Source organism: Homo sapiens, chromosome 5, assembly GCF_000001405.40.
Source record: "Homo sapiens chromosome 5, GRCh38.p14 Primary Assembly".
NCBI classification, from domain to species: Eukaryota; Metazoa; Chordata; class Mammalia; order Primates; family Hominidae; genus Homo; species Homo sapiens.
Genome location: NC_000005.10, coordinates 128,666,188 through 128,691,919, shown reverse-complemented (window position 1 = coordinate 128,691,919; position 25,732 = coordinate 128,666,188). Strand labels below are relative to the sequence as shown.

Genomic DNA, 25,732 nt, shown 5'->3' with positions numbered 1-25,732 from the left:
ACAATGAGCTCTTAAATTTCTGAAAATATTAACTCAAAGCAAAGAGGTGTGACTGCCCTCTCTCACACTCAATAAGTATGACTCTGCACTCAATTATATGGTGTTTTATGGGTTACTGGTAGGGGCCTCTTAGTTTATACAGTGCAAAACCTTAATTTTACAGAGGAAAACATGCTCCTCAATTCATGTCCTTCATTGTGTTTCCAATGTCTCCTACTTTCCACTGTCTCAGAACATTTAGCTCTATGTAGTAATTCACCATTTAGGACTATCTCTCCCACTTAACAATAATAACCTCAATCCGTTGGACAATTTCTCCTTCGTTGTTGTTTTTCTAAGGTCCATCATAGTTCTAGGCATTTAAAAGGTGTTTAACAGAAGATAAGTGGATGGATGGATAGGTGGGTAGATGGATGTATGGATGTATGGATGGATGGATGGATAGGTGGGTAGATGGATGTATGGATGGATGGATGGATGGATGGAATTAAGACAAGAGAACTTAAATAGCATCAACAAGGATGCCAAGAGGCCTTTATGCTACTTCTAGGCCAAATTGTAAAAGAAGCGTGAAAGAAAGAAATCTCCACTGACAGTAAGTGCCAGGTGTCAGCAACAACATGACGGTAAAGGAAATGCTCAGAAAAGAGATCTCAATGTGCAAAGAATTTCATTGATAACTAACTCTTATTTTTCAGAGGGCCCAGATGAAAAACTCCAGGGACTAGGGGTAGAAGGAAAATAAAGTCAGAAAAGGGGATGTGTGGAGCCAATAGAGATGTGGTCAGAGAATGTGCATTTCAGAGTTTCATGTAGTTTGACTTTTATATTTTTGACAATTATAACCTCCATGAGAAAAAAAAGTAACAATTTTTCTAATTTATCTTCTTAATTTTTTTCCAATTCAATAATTTGAAGGGTCAAAGTGATTATTTATTCATAAACTGAATGTATTGCCAAGTATTACGTTGCACTATGTTTGAAAAAAACATAATACAGATTGAAAATAAGAAACATATTTCTTGATAACACATAGAACAGTAAAAAATTATACAGTATAAAATATTTTAACTAATTAATAAAGAAAACAGTATATCAATTAAGAGAATTTGAAATTAATGTGCTAAGCATATAGTTCATACATACAAAGTTAACAAGCTAAACCCCCAAAAATTAAAAGAAAGAAAGTAATAAAGAGAAAGACAAACTTAGTGAAAAGGAAGACAAACGTGAGAAAAATAAAGTCAAAAGTTTGGTTTCTAAAAAGAACAACTGACAAAGTATTGTGAGATTATAAGGACCAATGAAACAGAGAATGAATAAACACCCAGTAACAATATTTTTAAAAGATACCTTACTGGAAGTGTTCCAGATATGAAAAGATATTAAAGAATGAAAAAAAAAAAAAACCTTAGCAATAAAGGAAAATACAGGTGAGGTTGGTAAATTCCTGGAAAATATAATTCGAAAGAACTGACTCAAAGAGAAATAGAAGTCTAAACAGTCTTGTAACCATTAAGTATAATGAACCAATACTTCAAGATTTTCTCACAAAAATGACTGTAAACTCAGTTGTCTTTCTCAAGGGGTTTTACCAAAAATCTAAAGAACAAATTCAAACCTATACAAACCCTTTCAGAGATTAGAAGAAGGGAACTTTAAGAAGGTAACATAGAAAAATACATTCATGATTATTGGATAGGGAAAGCATATTAAAAGAGAAAAGAAACACTATTTTTAAAGAAGAAAATGGCTAAATGTGACATTAAAATTAAGAATTTTCTTCATCAAAGGATACCGTAAGATGAAAAAGAAAAGCCACTGATGATTTGTTGTTATTGCTGTTGTTTTTACTTTTTGGCATCTGTTTGTTTTCAGCACTTAAAATTGACAAAAGGCTAGTATCACAAATATATAAAGAACTCTTACAAATAAAAATGAAAAAGGTGAAAAATGCTCCCCACAACACACACATAGATGAAACACTTGAATGGACACATCTAAAAGAGGAGATTCAAATAGCTAATAAATACATGAAAAGTGTCCAAACTTACTGTAGGGAAATGCAAATTAAGACCACAGTAAGACCATGATATCCTCAATAAGAGAATATTAAAATGTCTGGCAAAACCAAATGCTAGCAAGCATGAGTATCAATGGGAACTCTCAGAAACTGTTATGGTATGTCCATTGGTATAAGCACTTGGGCTAAAACCTGTCGTCATCTAATAGAGTTGAAAATATGCATATCCTATTACTCAGCAATTTCATTCTAGGTCTGTTCCCTAAAGAAACTTATACACATGTGATCAAAGGTACACAAACAAGAATATTCATAGCTAAATTGATCGTGGTAGCTGAAAAGTTAGAAAAAAACCAAATATCCAATGATAATGAAATACACATTCATTGTGGTATACACAATGGTATATTATGCAAAAATAATAATCCTTACTACAGGTACTTCCCAAAATATAAAAGATTCTCACAAACATAACATTGAGCAAATGAAGCTAGAAACAAATGCATGCACTATAATTCTGTTGTATAAACATAAAAAAGACCTAAAACTAAATTATAGTGTTTAAAAATGCACACAGAGAGGGCAAACCTATAAAGGAAAGCAACAGAATGCCTATAACTAAAATTGAGAAGAGTTCGTCATCAGGTGGAAGGTACAGAGGACTTCTGGGGTACTAGCCATGATTTCATGACCTGAGAGGAATTCCGTAGGAATTGACTTCATGAATATTTCTTATATTGTGCAATTATATTTCATACAGTTTCCTGTTTATATACTTCAAGATTTTCTAAATGTTAGAAATTGAGATTTATTGGAAATTATTGCATATTCATAAGACAATTTGTTCTCAAGATCCAAGATACCTGTTGATAAATAATTCTGCTACATATTTATCTTTGTAATACTATTCATTTGAGAATTATTATATGAATTTGCCAAGCACTGACTATATTTTTTAATTGAAGCATACTTCTCATCTGTCTTCCACTAAATTTATTTACCTCTCAAATGCTTTACCAAGTTTATCGTAGTTTCTAAAAAACTGCAATGTCCTAAAACATCCGGGAATTTTTTTTAATTAATGGTAACATTTTCATCATTTCAGAGTATTGCCTCTGGCTAATTTTTTTTTTTTTTTTTTTTTTTTTTTTTTTTTTTTTTTTTTTTTTTTTTTTTTTTTGGTAGAGATGGGTCTCACTATGTTGCCCAGGCTTGCCTCCAACTCCTGGCCTCAAGCAATCCTCCCGCCTTGTCCTCCCAAAGCACTTATGATTATAGGCATCAGCCAGGGAGCTCAACTAATCCTTTCTTTTTTGACAATCCAGGAATACGTTCAGTATCTATCAGAAGAATTTTATATCTAGATCTATCATTCCATTTCTAACCGTGATGACACTTAAATATAAAAAGAAAATGAACACATAAGCTTCATCTGTACACTTTTAATTGATTCCTACTCAACCTGTAGCTTTATCTTATCAACCAATCAGTTGAATGCTTTGAGTTGTGGCTCAAACAAACAAATATGACTGCTCTGAAGGATCAAATCATTTAGAGTACTTTGTTCCTACAAACTAATTTTGTTCCTACAAAATAATTTACTTCAACCTCTGGAAAAACAGTGATTTACTCCAGAAGGTTCTTTTGAGTTTTAATGCATAACTTTCTTAAATGATGTGCTTGTGTTTTAAGCTTTATTTATTGTAAGTGCTTAGTAACCCAAGCCACAAAATTGCGAAGACCTTATTCTTTTATTTTCCCAGTTCCTTTTTCTTCTTTCAGTGGTGCCAGCAACAAAAGGACATGTAACTTTATATTTTCTGGTTGCTAATATTTTACCTTGCAGACTCTCGAATGACAAGTTCTCTAATTGCTGCTATTTATCACCATTCTGTTCCTTTTTGTGCTATCAAGTGGCTAGTATGTGTTTCCAAATTATATTTTTAAATGAAGTTCCCTTAAGTTGACAGAGGTTAAAAAAATACCCAAGCCAAAATGTTTTGGCTTTTCATTTTTTTAAACAGGATTTGGTTTTGCAGTTCCAGAAATGGGCCACATCAAACTTTCCAGGTTTTTTCCTGTGGTCTTTGTATGAAATATAAACTCTTAAATCCTTTGAAAAACATTTACATCATCATTACTCATTAGAAATAAAAATAATTCAATTAAAAATTTTACTTAAGATATTCTGAGTGTATTCACAGAACCTTCAGATTAACAATGGAATTACACAGAAAAAATTAACTGGAAATTCCCATGGCAGAAATCACTGAATAATATAATTTAATAAGAGTTGTTAATAATTCAACATGAAACTTAAAATTTGGATTTCTCCACTGCTTTTAGATATACAGTCGATCCATGCATTCTCTCTGTTCTGTTTTTGTTCTTAGAGAAGCAAAGAATGTTTTCTCTAACTCGTCAGAGCTGTGTTCTCCAACTTCTCCTAGTCCACAATGAATAGGAAGAATGCTACTGTTCTACAAGGAATGAAAACTTCCCTGAATTCAGAAAAGTTCCAGAAAATCTGCATGGTAGTTCAACAAATGACAACTCCTACATATCAGAGAGTTCCAAAGGTAAGAATATCCAAATTTTAGATTATTTACATGATATAAACCACAAGGCTTTTTCACTACTTCAGTCCCTCTCCTTGGACACATAGTTTGCCTGTCTGTGTATCTATTAAAATGTGGTGTCCTGTCTTGAACACACCACGTAGCATGTTAGACCAGCACAGGTTAGAACAAGCCTGTCCCTGTGCTTATTGTGCCTCTGGTACTTCTGCCCATAAGCCTTTCTCACACATGTTGCTCTTAAGCCATATTTAATTCACCTTAAATTGTGCAGTGAGATTTGGGGTTCTAAATTACTTCTATTAACTATAAGCTTGACATTATAGAATGCCAGCCACTCAAATTTGAGTATTCACTCCATCATGTGATATATAACCCTCCTGTTTCATATCATCTACAACTTTATCAAGGTCATAACTGAAAATACAGAATAGAGCAGGGCTAAAGATAACATAAGTTAATTTTAATCAATGATCTTTGCACATAGTTCTCTAACTTGTTATAAATTCATTTAAACACTGTCCTATTTTTCAGCTCAAATTTTTCCACCAATATCCAGAGAGTTGATCAAATGCATTACTGAACTTAGCACAACGTCCATACCATGCCCCTGATCCACAATCCCAAAAGGGAATGAATCCAAAATTGGTTGTGCTTTTTTTCATAAACCCAGTAGTTCCCCACTTGTTTTCTGAGCTCTTATAACCAATCTTTTAATAATCTGTTCTGGAATCTTTCCCAAGACAAGTAACAAGTTTGTGGAATTTACTTTCTTACAAATTTCAAAAAAGAATCTAGTCTTCAGGTATCTGTAAGTTTCTTCATAACGCTTTATAGATTATTAAGCAGAGGCTCAACAATGCCACACTTATATTCTCAGTGTTGTACTGTGTAATTTTTTTCTAACCTAGGAAACTAAGATACACTTAGAGCATCCAATAATTCAGAGCAAATTATGTTCTCACCTCTCTTTTTGAGAAGTATTACATTTACCAAAAATAAATAAATAAATAAATAAATAAAGGGACTGACGCTTGAATGTAGCTAAAATGAATTTGCTTTTAGGTGGGCAAATGGAAATAGTCTTCGCTATAAAACTCGGCTAACACATACTTCCTTCTATGAAGTTATTTATTTTGTTCTCCCCCTACCTGAACAACAAACCTGCTTTTGAGTCAAGGATCTGATATAACCAGATATTTTAGTGTGACTTTAAGTCAATGTGCTCTTTCTCAAAGGGAGTATTTGTGTTTTGATCCCCATTTCTATCTTCAAGTGTGGAATTTAAATCTAGGTCCTTTATTAAGGGAATTTCAAGTACCAGAGAGCAGGTGGGGGAAATTCAGGTAAACTGGGAGGGGGAGAAGGGCTCCTATATACACCTTAGATCACACCACTTGACTGCTCTTTCTTACACTTGTACCTGAAAACCACCTGGACCAGGAAAGAAGGAACAGTTCAAGAAAGATAGTAGACGTGCACTATGTTTTGACCCCTTTGTGTCTGAAATATGAGTTTGAAGATATATGCCTATATTTATCTTCAAAAACATAAATCTTACGTTTCTCTCAGTAATTCAGTGCCTGCTGCTAAAAGATTGCAAGAGAGGCTGTGGAGCTGAAAGTTGAACGTCACTGCAAGTTCGGCTCAGAATATTTCAGAGGCTGGGCTTCAATTCTTGTACTATCTCTTCCTTATGATGGTTACTATGAACGGTGCCAGTTTGGAAGCTTAACAAAAATTTTCAGGCACGATTCTAACATAAATCATATATAATAATAAATATAATCATCATATAATAATATTCCCAATTAAATTGGATTTTTAACCTTTCAAATAATTGACCATATAGTATATCTCCTGGAACTTCTGTTATCTAATAGCCTGAAATAACCATTCTTAAGTCAATCCTTATACATAATTTTAGATGAAAATATTTCACTCTAATGTCATTTCACTAGTAAAATGTGCCATATAATATATTTTATTAACTGCGAATTCAATGCCATTTGTATTTTAGGTAAACTACTGATGAAAAAACAAAACAAAACAAAACTACCCAGGGAAGCTATTCAATGCCCTGTGCAATGAGACATTCTCAGAGAGAATCATGATAAAGAAAAGATGTGGCTGAATAGCATTAGGCATGGATCCAAAATTCATTCACATAGTTTGGTGATTTCATTTGCAATTCCAGGAAGTTAGTTTGTGGTAAATCTTTGTTCTTATATTCCATCAGATATTTTTAAAATTGGAAAAGCCTCTGAGAAATGACATAGAGAATTAATGATACCTCAATACACTCTTGGCAAGTAAGGAAACAGATCTGAATAATTATCACCCATTCCAGTTGTGAATTTATTGTGAAAATTCTGATGCAATTATTTTTATGTTAAAATAATAAAGTTGAAATAATCTACTGGAATGTTGCCTTTGGAACTTATAGTAGGAAAGATGTCGGCACAGCCACAAACTTCTAAATCTGCCCCTGTAGTTTTTCTTTGAAGATGAAATAACTAAATAGATAATAACTGTATCAAATAGATTTGTAACATGGTATGAATGGGAATTCAGTTTTTGTTTGTTTTTGCTATGATGGCTTCAAAGTAAGATAATTACTTCTTAATTTCAATACTATGAAGTAAGTAAAAAATCCCAGATCAATTTTGAATACAAGAGTAACATTTAAAAGAATTTCCTAGTTGAGCTCAGTTTAAAATTGATAATATAGCATCTTAGTAAAATATAACATATCCAGTCCAATTCTTTTCTTTAATACTATCCAACATATCTTCCATTTAAGAAAATATTTGAGCAAAAATTGGAGTGAGAGTAGGGTGGAAAAGAACCATTGTGGAATGGGGTGGGAGGGAAATATTTCAGCAAATACTTTGCGTCAGAGCCTTGCCCGCATTAATTTTTCAAAATAAAATAATCCTGGGAGATACAAATCATTATTCTCATTTTTACAGATAAGAAAAGTAAATCTCAGAGACGTTAAATAGCCTGCTGAATATTACCTGACCAGTATTCAAATCAACTAACTCTGTTAACTCTAAAATCCATGCACTTTCTGCCACCACACAGATGTTGAATGACAAGGGGTAAAATTAAGATAAATGGCAAATTATCAACTCCTAGGAGTATTACATAGCACTAAAATTATACTTTTGAAATCTAACATTTTAAGAAATATGATAATTATTGCATGAACGAGGAGAATTCCAAATGTAGCCATCCTATGATTATTATTATGTAAAAAAAAATTTAAGTTGATTTCGTAAGATAGTAGTAGGATTATAAAGAATTCTAAATATATCTTTTATCATTGTTCTAGAGATATCTGTGAAAAAATATATACATGTAGAAAGGGGGAGAATATCTGTTTCTTGAATATGGTCAAAATGAATGTTTTGGGATACAATTTAAAATTGAGAATGCATTTTTACATAATGGATTCAAATATGTTATCTCATTTAATCCTCACAAATATATGAAATAAGATAATTATTATCCACATTTTACAGCTGAAGAAACTGAAGAAGTAATAGATTAAGTAACTTGCCCTCAGTTATCCAGTTGTCCAGCTAACTACTGATGGAGGCAAGTATTGAGCCCACAGCTCATATTTTAACCATAGAACCTATGCTGCTAATATTTAGGAAAGACAAAATGCATCAACAGTGCTTGTTTTATGGAAATAAAAAGTGGATGATGATAGATTACATAACAATGATAAAATGACAGGCTAATATAAAATACCAAAGCAGTAAAAAAGACAGAGCTAACAAGCCAAAAATAATCAAACATTAGAAATAATTCCAAAAGAGTCACTAACACTAATATGGTATCACAAAGGCTAACCACATAAAAGGATGTGTAGAGAAAAACATAAACACATCTTACTGAAGTTAGCAAAAATAAATAAGTTATAAATATATTATATATTAAGATTGACACTTAAGAAACAATTGAACAGTTACAGATGCCAAAGAGAAAATGTGAGAATGGAATGAGAATTCTGTACATAAGAATAAAAAGGAGATGAAATGGGTAAATATGATGAATAAATGGAGGAGAAAATTTTGTACCTGATATTTACATGTATTTTATAGCTAATTCTGCAATAATCCACAATTGGATTGCATTGACTTGAGTTTTGTCTCAACAAGAATTTCCATATGTTTTGGTAACATACCGTGGTAGAGGTCAGGAACTCATCTTCCAGTCTTCCCTTACCCTCATCTATGTTACCTCAGGCACTGACTTAGCCTCCCCTGTCCTCAGTTTCCTCATCTGCAGAGAAGGAAGTAGAGATGGGAGGCTGTCTAAGCTCATCCTGTGGGTGCAAGTAATTTCTGAACTGTATTTCACTAGTCCTGTTTTTTGAGCACAGTGACAGAAAAAAACACGAAAAAGAGAGATGAGCTGTAGTAACACTTATGGCAGTAGTCTAAACAAAATGACTGCCTATTGCTCAATACAGCTATTCGAATCTATATTCCCCCTATGTATTTATCAATTCCTTTTTCTATATGGTGAATTGTTTTAATACACCCAACTTTAACTGCACATCATGAATCTCAAGGATCATACAGAGAAAGAGGCTTCAGAGGCAGGTAGACTGTGTTAGAATGTTCTGCCCTGATGCTTGCTGAGAATTTTGCTTAATTTCCCTGAGCCTTAGTTTCCTCATCTACGAACAAATATTATCCACTTTAAGAATTAAAATGAGGATTAATGAAATAAATGATGTGAATTAGCTAGCCCAAAGACTGCCACTTAGTAAGGAATTTAATAAGTGGCCGCTATTACCAGGGCACTACACCACAGGGGGGTTAGTGAGTAATGTGAACCGGCCGTACCAGTTGAGCAGCAATCAGATTTAAAGACTGAGAGAAATAAAACAGGCAAGTGTCCATTTTCCCGGGTTTATGGAGACAGACTACAAAGTGGAAGTATGCCAAAAAAAAAAATTTAGAGAGAAGTAGATTACAAAAACACAAAGAAATCAACACAGGAGAATGCAGATAAATGTGGGAGAAAAAGGCTAAGCTAAGAGGAAAACTATTTTGATTCTGATTCAAGTATGTGACTGATAAAGCCGTGACCCTTCCCAGGCTGGGTGAGTGGTGGTCCCTGAGTTTAAATGTGATCCCAAGAACATACTGACCCAGATCTGGTTTTAGTGACTCTATACACAGAGTCGATGGCAATTTTAAAATATGAAAAGACTTTAGTTACAAGACAAAAACTGTTGCAAATTTTTTGCTTTAAATAAGAAGTGTGAACACATGCACTGCTTCCCACTAAGTAAATGCAGACACCAAAGAGAAGGAAAGCCCCTGGCTTCCCCAAAGTCTTTAAACATACCCCAGAGTGACTGCTCTATAAGGTCATCAAGGGTACCTCAAGCTATAGAGGAATCACTTTGTTCTTTAGCGACTAAAGTGAGTACTTAGAAACCAATGACAAACTACACAGGAAATGCTTAATGTTGAAAAATGTATGCATGTAAATGTCCACAGATCAATTAATATAAGCTGTACTTTCTCATCTTCCTGCTTTTGTTCTTATTCTTTTCTGCCTGAAGAGCTCTGCTTTTCACAGTTTATACAGTTTCCAAGTTTCAGCTCCAATGGTATCATCTTTGGGAAGTTTATTTCTCCAGAACCATAATCTATGTGATTATTTTCCACCACTGGAACTTCCCATATCATCACTTACATATTTATCTGATATACATTTTGCTTTATATTATATCATTTTTTGCTTCTTTTTTTTCTCATCAGGTTGTAAGCTTTTCTAGGGTAGATAATTGATTTGATTGTCACCACTGCTAAGTACACATTTTCCCATGTCGTAGGTACTCACTAAATATTTGTTGAGCGAATGTTGTATCACAAAATTTATCAACAGCGCTCTACCATTTTAAATGCTAAAGAATGTGACAAAAATGTAGTAGCAGGACTCCTTCTACTGTATCTCTCTGGAATGATTGTTGGTCATTCAACAATCATTCCAAAACCACAACAGCTCCTAGGCCAGAAACTCTGGGTCTTCAACGTGAAGTTAGTTTCACAAGCTTTTTTCAGATCACGTGAAACTTCCTCTTTCTTCTGGGACATTTATCATCTTTTTTGCCTGATCAGTTTAAACAAGCTTGTTATATTCAGGGTCACAAAAGTCAACATATTTAAGGCTTTGTGTGTAAGTCCATTAATTAATTTATTTAGTAAATATACTGAGCATTCCTATAAGCCACATAGCAAGGATTAAAGATTAATAAACAGAAAACTCTCCCATCAAGGAATTCCTGATATAGCAGAAGAGACAATGTTGGTTGGGCACAGTGGCTCATACCTGCAATCCCAGCATTTTGGGAGGCTGAGGCACCAGCCTGCGTAACATAGTGAGACCCTCATCTCTACAAAAAAAAATAATAATAATAAAGAAAATTAGCCAGGCTCCCACTTGAGCCCAGGAGTTAGAGCCTGCAGTGAGCCATAATTGTGTCACTGCACTCCACCCTGGGCAACAGAGCAAGATTCTGTCTCTTCAAAACAATAAACAAACAAGGAGAGGAGAAAACATTCCATGAGGTCAGCGACCATGTCCACCTCACACATCCTCATTGCTTGACACAGATCCTGGCACATCTGGGGCACTCAGTCAGTATATGTTGAGTTAAAGAATTAACTAAAAGTGACATGTCATGCAGAGGTATGGGTAACATTGGTTGGTAGCACATGGAAGGCAGGAATTTGTTCTGTAAGACGGAGGAGTGACAGGGGAAGGAATGACTTTAGAGAAGAAAGGGTGCCATTACCAGGTCTCGAATGATGAAGAGAAATGTATTAAATTAAGAAAGAATAAGCACTGACCAGGCTGAGTGAACAACAGGGGAGACGTGAAGGTGTATGATAGGCCATCTAGTGTGACCCATCGGTTTTAACCTTCTTTGGATTGGAGATCATTTTTAAGAATGTGTTGACACCTTTGACCAAATTGCTTCAGAAAAATAAATAAATAACCATATGTAAAAGGGAGTTTTCCTGCATAGTTTTGGCAGAGGTTCAAAGGCCCAAAGGTAGGTACCACATACCTCCATGTTCGGAACTAAGGTACTACACTACCTATGCAGGATTTGCAAAAACTAACCCTAACTCTTTATGCTTCATGTAGCTGCAGGTAATACAAGAGGTTCAGGGGAAAAGAACATTAACATAAGGTGAGAGAATGCTGCGAGGAGTTCGGGCTGAGGTGTTTTCTTCATTGCTTCAGGTGGGGAAGGGAAGAAGTGGAGCCAAGTGGTAGGGCTACAGGGGATCCACTCAGAGTACTTGCTTGGGAGACACAGGGAAATAGGCTCTATGTCATGACAGAAATACAAAGACCCTGAGTGGCTGGGAGCAGCAATGCAGAGAAAGGGCAGAATTGGGAACAAGATGCTTCTCTGCCAAGATAGGTGAGCAGTCCTTTGAGCCAAAGGGCACCACAGGAGGAAACTGGCCTAGGCTCCCTTTAAAAGGGCTCTGCCCAGTAGTACTATCTGTGAGGAAAGATGTCAGTGAGCAAAATGACCCCCCAAAAAGGTGGACTTCCAAGGCCTGGGGGCCGAGGTGGCTGGCTGTATGAGGGAAGGTGACATTGGATATTTCCAGAAGTGGAACGTTCCTGGAAACCCACAAAAAATGTACCAAGAAGAAAAAGCCCTGGTGAGCCACCAGTACCAAATTTCAACAATACCTGCCAAAGTCTCTTTCACAAATCGCCTTTCCCCCAGCCAGGTGTGAAAGAATCAGAATCTTAGCCAGTAAATTGTGAAGTGCTGGCAAAGCAAGGAGAAAAAAAGACAATGGGCTTTCCAGACTTAAAGCCATTCAAAGCTAGGGCAGAGGGAAGTTCTAAATTACCAAAGAGTTTGCAGTTTTTATTGTTACTCTGGTCTGGACTGTCAAATACAAAACGTATCTGGACTTTGTAAGGAGAGACTTTCTTTCAAAGGATTATTGCAAGGTAAGGAAAGGGACTATTGCAATAGAGGCATGGGATGATTACAGTAGGGAGAACACTCTGACAGTAAGACATGAAAGCACCTCAAGGGTTAGGCAAAGAGTGTATCTGCTATCGGGAGGAGTGGACAGGGCTACAAAGAACTGGTGTTGACAAGTGGATGAAAGAATGGTATGATCAGAGATTGTTTTGCCTTGAAGCCAGCCTACTCTCAGGAGACCTTGTATGTAGCTCAGGCTGGGGAGAGGGGAGCTCAGGGCCCTGGAGGAAAGAGGGAAACTCAACAAAAGTTTGGTTAATAAGTATTTTGTTCTGATTGACCAGTAGGGACAAGTAGTTCAATGAATTATTTCTAAGTCAAAGAATGAGAATTTGCAGTCTGTGTCGTAGGTAAACAAAGAGTCATCGAGTCTTCTCTAAGTCACAGGGGGCAGGGTGGTAATGTCCAAAGAGCTACTTCAGAACACAAAACAGTGGGAGAATTTCTTAACCATCACTGTTTACCAATAGCACAAGACTCAGGTAAAATTCAACATTGTGAGGACTTTGCAGTTTCTGAAATAAGATTGTAGCTATGATTGAAAAGAATCAGAAAGTTTATTAAAATTGCGAAAATTATATCCAAGGGCAAGAAAAACTAGCCCACTGGACATGCTTGAAAGGATGGCAGCTGATTAAATCCCTTTGAGTCCAGCTCATCTGACAGCTACACATGTGAACACCCAGTTGCATGCAAAACTTCAGGGCTTTCTCAGGTCCCAGGCTAAATGAGAATCACTCAGCTAGGAGTTTTAGGGGATCCAGCAAGGGCAAACTGAAGCAGAAGAAGCACCATGCCTACTCAAGCAGCCTTGTTGGTTCTCTGAATCAGATAAATAAGATACGAAGTTTGCCTTTTAGGAGCTTTTACCCCAAGGAGAAATTTAAAAAAAGAAATATAAATAAGTTATTATAATATAATAGAAATGTACAAACACCACAAGAGATGAAGGGATTTAGAGGAAAAAGAAAATTCCCATAACCCAAGAGCTCTGAAAATTCTGAGGAAAGGAGCATGATTTTTTTTTCCCTGGGAGCATCAGGAGAGGTTTTATGAAAGGATAGCCCAAATCTGATGTTGGTCCAGTACAAGATTAGAGAAGACGAAGAAAGAAGATGCCCAGGCATTCCAGGTGAGGTTAACAATATGCACAGGTGGGAGGCAGGGCCTGAAAGGGCCTGTTTGTGGACTTGCAAGTAGTTATGGACACAGGAAAAGAAGATGGGGAGATGGCATTCCCAAGGAGGTGGTAATCCATGAATGCCACACACTAATGCAGTTTCATGCAACTTTCTTTCAGCATGAAAGAATATGCCCCAGAAAATATTTGACAGACAAATGGCATGATCAGATTTGTGCCTCAAGAAAAATAAGTGACATTAATATTTGAAAAGAATTGAAGAGAGAGGCCTGGAGTTAAGATGGGTTGGTGCTATATTTGACACATAAAGTGCATCACTTTTTAACACCTACCTCCTCTTTATAACAAACTTATTTTCAGTAATAAACATAAAATGAGATAAATAAGGACAATGGCTAGAAAAGAAATGGAACCATTAAGATTTTCTTTTCTAAAACTTTACAATGTAATTATACCACTAAAAAAATTAAAAACAAAATCAGTAAAAGAGAGCAATATATAGTATGTATTATGGTATACACTTGTAAATGTCTAAAATATTTTTGGAAAAAGAGAAAAATCTTATACATGCATGTTTATTTGACACAATAATGAATATTAACATTACAGTTTCTGTTAAAAGCCTTGATTTCTGCAACTTTATCAAAATCAATAGTTTTTCATATTCCTGTTCCATAGCAAATATAGCTATATTTATCAATCTCTCTTCATTCAAAGTTGACTAAAGAACATGTTTTGTTAATTTTAAGTTTCAAAATTTTATTTTATCTGAAGCAACCAATATACTACAGGTTGTTTCAAACAGTCTCAGACATAAGTTTGGCAGAGAGTCATAAAAATCCTATTTCACAATAATTTCAGAAAATTTAAATGCAAATAACTCTTAATGGTCATGAAATGGAATTAATTCAAATTCTGCTTTTTTATCTTCACAGACCTTGAGTTATAATTGTTCATTTCAGATCAACTGTTTAAATGCAGGAATAGGTAGTACTACAAGATCGGAATACTTGAATCACGCCTGGAACATGCTTGCATACTTCCAACCTGCTATGTATGTTCTCTGTGGGCAAAGACTGAATCTGTATGTCAGGGGTAAGCTGTATAACTGAAAGTTCTCTGGATTAATGCCTATGTACAATACAGTGTTTATTGAAAGTGTATTCATCAGTTTTCATGTTGCTAATAAAGACATACCTGAGACTGGGTAATTTATACAGGAAATAGTTTTAATGGACTCACAGTTCCACATGGCTGGGGAGGCCTCACGTTCATGGCAGAAGGTAAGGAGGAGCAAGTCATCTCTTACATGAATGGCATCAGGCAAAGTGAGAACTTGTGCAGGGAAACTCCCCATTATAAAGCCATCAGATCTCATGAGACTTATTCACCATCACGAGAACAGTATGAGAAGGACCCACCCCCATGATTCAATTACCTCTCACTAGGTACCTCCCTCAACACATGGGAATTGTGGGAGCTACAATTCAAGATGAGATTTGGGTGGGGACACAGCCAAACCTTATCAAAAGGTAGGTAACATAAATGTGCTGATTTTAAGCTACTATAAATTGATGTTACTGTTGAAACTCAACAACAATAGCAGCTATTCTTTAGAACATATACCAAAAAAGGATTTTTTAGAAGAGAAGCATTTTATCACTGACATTATTTAGGGTTATAAGTGCAGGATATAATAACAAACAAATGTTCTTTCAGTTATTTACACAGTTAACTTTAAATTCTCTGTAATTTAAAATGCACTATTTTATTACCTGTAACCAACGAGATGGTTTCTTCTAGCCTGCCCTTGAATCTTCCACAGAGAAGGGAAAGGAAAATGGTAACTGGCATTTTAAAGTATCAACACTGTGCCAAACAGGGTGTTAGATTCTTTGAAGAGATTATTATTTCTCCTTTTTAAGATGCATATTAAGATCAATTGCCAAAGATCACACAGCAAAGTAAGTGGTGAAACTGGAATTCAAACTGAGGTTTCTCTGACTCCAAAACATATAATATCTTCAATCTACCACATTGTTTCTTTACAGAGGATGGGAGGGAGATAAGTTTAAGGCTGTGGCAAAATTTGGATGAGATGTAATTGAGCTTGGGTTTTGGCAGTGTCAGGGGAATGCAGAGAAAAGCATGGTGGGAGGTCATATTGCAAGACCAGATGGACCAAATCTGGCAACATATTGGATGTGGGAACATGACAGATGATAAAATCCAAGTTTTGAAGCCTGGGGAAAGCACAGACAGGCAACTAAGACACTAACAACTAGCAGTTGCCAAAATCTGACTGAAATTACAGTGAGATATGGAAGTATCTACCGACCAGGACCCTTATTAGAGACCTATATGTGCAGAGTTAACACTTTGATAAGCTGCTTGGTATTGATAGGTAATGTTGTCTATAAACAGTAAATGATCACAAATTGCTTTCTAAGAATGGGGAATTGACTTACTCATAGAACTTTCACTTTGCTGAGTAGGAAATGCAAGTTTGGAGGCAGAGCTGAATTGCTCAGGAGGGCAGAGATGTGGCTAAGGTAGCTATGATCCTCAGTGCCATGCATCATGACTTGCCTTTGTAAGCTCAGTCTCTTTTCTAAATAAAGAATAAAAAATGTTTTTCAAATATAATGGCTTGAAGTGTCACCAAATTACTAGCTTTCAAAGTGCCCCTACATACTATAAGGGTAGTATTGCTTGAAAAATAATTTAGATGATAGATAGACAAACAGACAGTGAGAATAAAGTAGCAGGTTTTCAAGAGCCAATCTGCAGTAATTCATGTAGGCTCACAGCAATTTAGGGCCACTCTGTTCATGCCATTTGGATTAATGGCATTTTTCTCAGGCAACATTAATTCACAGGATACTTCTTTCTGATACTTACATTTCTTTTCTTATGTGGGTGGGATCTTGTTTCTTTTCTTCTTATCTATTATTGCCACTGGCCTTTACTGATAAGAATACAGTAGGTTGTATTTACCTTCCTAGCAATCTACTGGTTGAATTTCCATGGAGCCCCACTAACGACCTGCAGGGAGGAAACTGTACTGACAACAACTGCCACTATGGGGCAGCAGGGAGCTATATCCCTGCATATCTCAGAGTATCATTGATTTCACAGTCCTAGGAGGAAACACACATTCGATAACTAGTTATAGTTTTTTCCCCCCCAATACTTTTATATGGTCGATTCTTATATGATAGGTATGTTTGGCTGCCTCTAAGTCTTTATAAAAAAATATCTATTCCTACTCTACATAAAAAGAAACTTAAATACCTCGAATCTTGGTCTTTAATGACATTTACCAATGTGACTAGATGGTCTGTATCAATCATTCACAGGATCCTGAGAATCATTTAAATTTTGAAAAGTTTACTCTTTCCCACACCTGAAACATCACATTCTACTTTTGGTCAGTAATAGCTAACATTTCTGGAGCTCATATGTGCCACACACAGTTCTAGGCACTTTACATGCATTGGCTTATTTACTCTTCACAACTCTCTGAGGTAGCTTTGGTTTTGAACCTTTTTACATATGAAAAAACTAATTACAGAAGACAAAACAGTCCAAAAAGCATACTATAGCTAACAAGGAAAGCATGGATTTGAACCCAGGTAGTGTTGTTTGGCCCTAGATCCCATGCTCTGAACCAACATTCATTTCACTCATAAAATCTGAGGCAGACTTTCATAATAAAAATATGACTTAAAAATTAAAATGTAATGAACTTCATTGTACCATGAAAGCCTAGAGGGTGTGACAGGTCTACAAAAATCACAAATTCTGAGATGATTCAGCAAGACCCATCTCTAAAATATGGAGCGAACTAAGAAAGACAGGAAGGAAAAAAACTACTTTGAAAGGGTTAAGGATTCCAGAAGGCTGTAATAGCAGGTTTGCAATCAAGGGCCACCATAAAGAAACAGCAGGAGGCGGGGAGGTAATCTTGGTCATGCTGTGAGTGCACAAGTCTTTAGTTTAGAATTGTGTCAAACCACCCAGAAAGCTGTGTTTAAACTTTGTTCCATTTCAGAATGGACATGGTATTTTTTTCTGAAGCCAGAAACTGAAGATCAACTTAAAGCACTTGATTCAATAGAACCTCGCTGAAAAGTTGGAAAGGGTTTTTGCTAAGAGGTTTCAGTCAGGATAAGTCTATTTTTCATCATAAAATAAAATACAAATTATCCATACCATTTAGCAGCAAAAAGCTTTTGAACCCACCTCCCAAGTAAAACCACAACATTCTTCAATTCTGCTTTCTGGTAGGTCAATCAATGTGGCAAAAAAAAAAAAAAAAAAAAAGTACATGTTTAATACCTCAATGTGCCACTGCCTGAGTCCCTTTACCCATTTGGAAGAGAGATTCATTTCGGCTATCCATGCTCTTTTGTTCATGTCTGTGGGCATAACTGGATTTTTTTTCAGGTGCAGGAAAGTGTCTCTGGGGAGCATAGTTTGTGCAATTATGTGTTTCCAAGCAAGAAAGCCAAATTGAGGTTTGGAAGAGCTACACAAAAATGATGTTGGTAATAATTTCCATGGCAAGTTGATCCAATCTGAAAATGGGATTTTATTTTTGTGTATCCTATGTCTTTTAACCAACCTTTCTGAATCCTGATTGATTCATGCAAATCTATGAAAGATCAGGTTTTTTCAGGATGTAGAGTCAGAATAATACTCATTATTTAACCCGCTACAAAGAACACTAATATTTGGCAATTCTGCTCTTACGGAGTATCATTTCTGTTAAATAAGAAAAATCTGAGAAAGGGGAAAATGTAGAGGTTTCCCTATTTCTCCAGGAAATAGACTTCACCCTGAAAGCTGAAATCCTATGCTCATTGTTTTCTACTGAGGACTAGCTGAACAGCAATAGTAGACTTATCTCAGTCACGTGCTGCTATGAGAGTAGCAGCCAAACACCTCTCAGGGGAATCAATATATAAATTTTTGTTTTTAAAAAGTTTTTTTATGACAGCAGACAGCTGCCTTCTGTCTATTTAATAAAGTTGTTTCTATTTAAAGCAAAGATAGAAGTTAGGTAACTATTGAAGAAATTAACTTTCAAAGCACGTTTTCTAATTAACTTTTCTGCTAATGATGACCTGGAGCCTTTTTGTAGATTTGGTTTCATAAGCTTTACTTTATATCTGTCTACCTATGGAAGCATCAATTCTCTTACTCTCTCTGAATGCTAACTGGATCCAATAGTTCCCTAGCTTGTCTCAAACAAACCTGGTTCCCCACAATCCACAATGTCAAGACTGCTAGTTTCTCCCCAGTTTTTCCCCTTGAGCACATCTGACTGGTTTTACAAAGGGAATCACAACACGCTGTCCTTTCTGTCCCAGCTTGCCCAGAGCCCTAAATTTGGGTGAAAGACATTTATTTTACAACTGGAACTGTAAAGAATCCAAACCCTTATTCTTTCTGACTAAACATATTCTTCTCAGATGCATTAAATATTTTCAAATCTCAGTGTGATTATGTTAAAAGAAAAATCATGGAATTTCTCAAAATTGTAAATGTTATTAAGGTGAGATTCTCAGATATGCTCTCATCTGAGATGAAAACAAAACTGAAAGCCCAGGTCCCTTGAAAGAAAAGAATAGCTCCTTTGTATGTGTTCACTGTAAACACACAATAAAGTTCAAAAATGCATCCACAGTCAATGTTTCAACTACGGAGAAACAAAGACTGGAAAGAAAAAACAAGAATTTAATGATGCCTGTAAAAACATCCTATGTGAAAATAATGCCACCCACCATCACTTTTTTCTTTTTTTTTTCTTTTGCTAACTACAGCATAGTTTTTCAAAGAATCTTTGGCATCTCTAGATGATAAATTATGTGAATTATTGTTGGATCAAAATTCCTTTGAAATAACTGCAGGTGTTCAAGATCCTGTCAGAGCAAATGTATTTTAAGTACCCTGAGGACGCTGACATCCAGCCATTTCTCAGCCTTCTTTGAGGTAGAGCTCCTGTTGGGAGTGGCCTGGTTTAAATTGGAGACATATGGAGAGCTACTCAACGAAGACTGGGGAAGTCTATCCAATTGGCATGGAATTAGAATCTGACTCCTTCTGATTTAACTCCATATCTGTGGTTCTTTTTTCTGCTATGTATTCTCCCCTTTATTTCTTAATTCATAGTAAAATGCTTCAGAGATTATCTCATTGCTAGGTTGCGAACTACAGCTTCTTAGGAACATAATTTAGTGGACAGAATTATATTAATTATGATGTGATCTGCATTGGACAACTCATTTATATACATATTTTATTTTCTTTGGGGGTCTTTACAAAAAACAGGTTTAAAGATTTTGGTGTTTTAATTAGTATAAGCAGTAAAACCTAGCAGGTGCTTCTACTTATTAAGAGAATGAATGAATGAATGTTATCTTGTATTTTAAGAGAAAGGTAAGGGAATTAAATATATATAGCAAATTATGAGTCACATGAGCATATTACATGAAGAAATTATGTGTCTCATTAAATTCTTACATAATAATTAGAAGAAAAATATTATTGTTCACACATCGATTAAGAAAATTGAGGGTCAGGAAACAAATTGTACAATATCACACAAATAGTAAGTAACAAGAAAATATTTTTTCCAGCTTCACTTTACTCCGACCAACGACCATTCTCTTTTCATTTTATTTCAAATTTTCCTGCTGAGTAGCTGGGACTACAGATGCACACCACCACACCACTCTATTTTTTTTTTTTTTTTTTTTTGTAGTAGAGACAGGATCTCACTGTCAGGCCTCTGAGCCCAAGCTAAACCATCATATCCCCTGTGACCTGTACACATCCAGATGGCCGGTTCCTGCCTTAACTGATGACATTCCACCACAAAAGAAGCGAAAATGGCCAGTCCTTGCCTTAAGTGATGACATTACCTTGTGAAAGTCCTTTTCCTAGCTCATCCTGGCTCAAACACCTCCCCCACTGAGCACCTTGCGACCCCCACTCCTGCTCGCCAGAGAACAAACCCCCTTTGACTGTAATTTTCCTTTATCTACCCAAATCCTACAAAACGGCCCCAACCTTATCTCCCTTCGCTGACTCTCTTTTTGGACTCAGCCTGCCTGCACCAGGTGAAATAAACAGCCGTGTTGCTCACACAAAGCCTGTTTGGTGGTCTCTTCACAAGGACGCGAGTGAAATTTGGTGCTGTGACTCGGATTCGAACCAACAGGACTTAATTAACCTCACCTTCTAGGTGTACAATAATAGAGTAGAGGCAGCCAAGTAGCAACATATTTCTGAGTTGCAATTCCTTGCCTCCACTGTGAGAGAAACCCCAGCCACATCTCCAGCACACAAGAACTTCCAAACGCCCAAACTGCCGTGGCCAGGCATTCCTCCAGGCCCGCCTCCCCCAGGAGCCTGCCTCCCCCAGGAGCCTGCTACAAGGGCCAGAAATCTGGCCACCAGGCCAAGGAATGCCCACAGCCCGGGATTCCTCCTAAGCCATGTCCCATCTGTGCGGGACCCCACTGAAAATTGGACTGTTCAACTCACCTGGCTCATCTTGGCTCAAAAAGCTCCCCCACCAAGCACCTTGCAACCCCCACTCCTGCCCGCCAGAGAACAAATCCCCTTTGACTGTAATTTTCCTTTATCTACCCAAATCCAATAAAACGGCCCCACCTTTATCTCCCTTCACTGACTCTCTTTTCGGACTCAGCCCGCCTGCACCCAGGTGAAATAAACAGCCTTGTTGCTCACACAAAGCCTGTTTGGTGGTCTCTTCACAGGGACACAAGTGAAACTCACTATGTTGCCCAGGCTGGTCTCCAATTCCTGAGCTCAAGTGATCCTCCCAGCTTGGCCTCTCAAAGTGCTGGGATTACAGACATAAGCCATTGCACCAGGTCTTATTCTTCTTTACCATGTTTTTAATTTTGAATTATGTACTCACATTTGAATGTCTATGTTTTCCCTATGGAAATCCTATCAGTTCTGAGTTAAGGATTTTATTTGCTTCTTTCAAGTGCCTTTAGGCACCTGTATCTCATGTGAATGCTCACCAAAGAGTAACCACAGCAGAGGAAGACTTTACTAATCAAGTGGATAGGATGACTCATACTGTTGATTTAGAACTGGTGGTGGCTTTCCCCAGCCAATCCTGCCATTGCCCAATAAGCTCATGAACAATGTGGCCATGGTGGCAGGAATGGAGTGGATGCACGAGCTGAGCAACATAAACTTTCACTCAGCAAGGTCAACCTGGTTATGCCATCGATGATTTTCCAAACTGCCAGCATCAGAGACCAACATGGAGCCCCCAAGATGGCACCAGTCCCCAGGCTAATCAGCCAGATACCTGACAGGCTGGTTTTATTCAACCTCTTCCATCATAAAAGGGGCAGTATTTTTGTTCTTACTGGAATAGACATTACTCTGGATATAGATCTGCCTTCCCTTTGCATTTCCTGCATACAATACTTCTGCCAAAACTACCATCCATGGACTTACAGAATGCCTCACCTACCATCATAAGCAAATAAGGTATCACTTGAAAATGATACCTTACCACTCTGGCATCATTGAATAAGTATCTTGGTTTAGGATTTCCTTGACTATAAATAAAGAGAAATTATTTCAAACCCAATAACTACACGAGGGCATGCCTTTCCTTTTTAAAAAAAATTCAGGGAAATTTCATTGTTTCCCACACAGAACCCAGGCTGAGATAGAAGATTTTGCTTACTATTGTTCTTTGCTACCATATATTTTCTTCATAGTCCTCCATTTCACAGAGAATGTGGATTTCTAATGATGTTGATATACACGAGACTATCAATTCAAACTCTTTACTTTTCGTGGACTCAAGGCCATATCTCCTGTCTTCCGTGTGACTAATAGGATCTAAGACTGTCAGAAGAATCAGCTACATAATTTGTGGGGCTTGCTTGGGCCTGATCATGTATATGTCACTTCCGTTTGATGATGAAATGCTTTTGTGCACACCCAGCTTTATGAAGTGTTTGGTCAGGTAGCACCCAGTTCATGACCACATGGTCATCTCAGGTCACGTAGTAACTTAGTGGCCCATGGTCAAATGTTCAGTTTCTACTAAAGCCCAGTAACAGGCCAAGAGCTGTTTCCCGAAAGAAGAATAATTATCTGTGGGTGATGGCAGGGCCTTGCTCCAAATCCTAAAGGCCAGTGCTGTGATTCACCTACAGAGGGCTGCCAAAGGCTCCAAACAGCATCTTCCACTAACACATCAAATATCATTGGGTCTGCTGGACCATATGGCCCAAGTGAAGGCATAAGTAAGTTACTTGAAGAAGTGGCCCAAGAGCCCATGGTTCCTACTCTTGACACACTGCCCTCGCTCTCCAAACCTGCACCTATGGCCTCATAGGGAGTATCCTATGATCAGCTGATAGAGGGAGAGAAGACTAGGACCTGGTTTACAGACAGTTCTGCAAGATAGGCAGGCACCACCTGAAAGAGGATAACTGAAGCATTACAGCTCCTTACTGAGACATGTCTGAAGGACAATGGTGAAGAAAAATCTTCTCAGTGGGTGGAAGTTCAGGTAGTACACCTGGTAGTACACTTTCCTTGGAAGGAGAAATGGCCAGATGTGCAATTATATACCAATTTATAAGCTGTAGCCAATGGTTTGGCTGGATAGAGTTTGGGACTGAGAAGGAACCAAACTGACAATTGGGAAGTACATGACAAAGAAAATTTGGGGCTGGGTGCAGTGGCTCATGCCTATAATCCCAGCACTTTGGGAGGCTTAGGCAAGAGAATTGCTTAATCCCAGGAGTTCAAAACCATCATGGGCAACATGATGAGACCCGATCTCTGCAAAAACCAAAAAGTTAGTCAAGCATGGTGGTGTGTGCTTGTAGTCCCTGCTGCTCAAGAGGCTGAGGTAGGAAGATCACTTGGGCCTGGCAGGTTGAGGCTGCAACGAGCCATGATCATGCCACTGCATGCACTCCAGCCTGGGCTGCAAAGTGAGATTCTGTCTCATAGAAACAAAGAAGAAAAAAATTTGGAAAAGGGATATGTAGACAGACCTCTCTGAGTTGGCAAAGGACATAAAGGTATTTGTGTCTCATGTGAATGCTCACCAAATCATAGCAGAGGAGGACTTTACTAATCAAGTGGATAGGATGACTCATACTGTTGATTTAGAACTGGTGGTGGCTTTCCCCAGCCAACCCTGCCATTGCCCAAAAAGCTCATGAACAATGTGGCCATGGTAGCAGGAATGGAGTGGATGCATGAGCTGAGCAACATAAACTTTCACTCAGCAATGTCAACCTGGTTATGCCATCGATGATTGCCCAAACTACCAGCATCAGAGACCAACATGGAGCCCCCAAGATGGCACAATTCCCCAGGCTAATCAGCCAGTTACCTGACAGGTTGATTATATTCAACCTCTTCCATCATAAAAGGGCAGCGTTTTTGTTGTTACTGGAATAGACATTACTCTGGATATAGATCTGCCTTCCCTTTGCATTTCCGGCATACAAAGCTTCTGCCGAAACTACCATCCACGGACTTACAGAATGCCTTACCTACCATCACGATATTATACACAGCATTGCTTCTGACCACAAAACTCACCCCAAGACCAAAGAAATGTGCCAATGGGCTCAAGCACCAGAATTCAGTAGTCTTACCATGTTCCTCATCATCCTGAAGCAGCCAGCTTGATAGAAAGGTGAATGGCCTTTTGAAGACTAAGTTACAGTGCCATCTAGCTGACAATACTTTGCAGAACTGGAGCAAGGTTCTCCAGAAGGTTGCATATGCTCTGAATCAACATCCAATATATGGTTCTGTTTCTCCCATGGCCAAGATTCATGGGTCCAGAGATCAAAGAGTAGAAATGAAAGTGACACCACCTCACCATTACTCCTAGTGACCCACTAGCAAAATTATTGCTTCTGTTCCTGTGGTGACTTTATGTTCTGCTCCCTAGAGTTCCAGAAGGAGGAATGCTTCCACTAAGAAACACAAAAATGCATCCATTGAACTGGAAGTTCAGACTGCCACTTAGCCATTCTGGACTCTTCACGCCCCTGAGTCAACAGACTAAGAAGAGAATTACTGTGTTGGCAGTGGTGATTGATCCAGATTATCAACAAAAAATTAGACTATTACTCAACAACGGCAATAAGGATGAATATGTCAGATTACATAAGATCTCTTAGGGCATCTGTTAGAATTACTATACCCTGTGATAAAGGTGAGTGGGAAATTATAACAACCCAGACCAGGCAGGACTACAAATGGCCCAGACCCTTACAGAATGAAGGTTTGTGTTATCTTTCCAGGTAAAGAACCATAACCAACTGAGGTGCTTACTGAAGGCAAAGGGAATACAGAATGGGTACTAGAAGAAGGTACTTATAAATACCAGCTATGATCATGTGACCAGTTACAGAAACGAGGATTGTAATTGTCGTATTTCCTCCTTATTTTGTTAAAGATAGGTTTATGTGTATATATACATATAGTAAGCAAATATCTTGGTTTTTGCTCCTCTCATTCATTTATCATGTAACATAAGATTCATCAACTTTATATTAGCATTTAAATATTGTTAATTTTATATCATTAGTTTATGAGTAATCAGCAAACTGTAAACATCACTCAAGGACTTTACCTTCTCTTCTGAGGAAGACATTAGTGGATTTTCGCTTGAATGCAGGATAGCTGCATCATGTTAGATTGATAGGTGGAACCTTGTTATTGTCTTTATTTGAAGGTTTAGTATGGTTTAAGGAGATGAGTATGGGTGTCAAATTGACCTGGGGTGGATTTATAACGATTAATTTTAGGTGTCAACTTATATTAAGGGATACCTAGAGAGCTGGTAAAGCATTATTTCTTTACCAGATCTCATCTGCAAGCGTGTATCCACA

General features: G+C 37.2%; 1 long non-coding RNA gene across 1 annotated transcript in view, besides 1 other annotated feature; it reads right to left on the bottom strand.

Moving 5' to 3' along the window:
* The window catches only part of LOC105379168 (uncharacterized), a 273,909-nt gene that overhangs the window by 243,846 nt on the left and 4,331 nt on the right, over positions 1-25,732 (bottom strand). The gene's annotated exons all lie outside the window — the stretch shown is intronic.
* Positions 20,455-20,979: an enhancer, noted in NCBI's record as "NANOG hESC enhancer chr5:128006634-128007158 (GRCh37/hg19 assembly coordinates)". NCBI's record gives its function as "activates a minimal SCP1, AML or CMV promoter by ChIP-STARR-seq in naive H9 embryonic stem cells {active_cell/tissue: H9 hESC(naive)}" and the evidence as "EXISTENCE:reporter gene assay evidence [ECO:0000049][PMID:30033119]".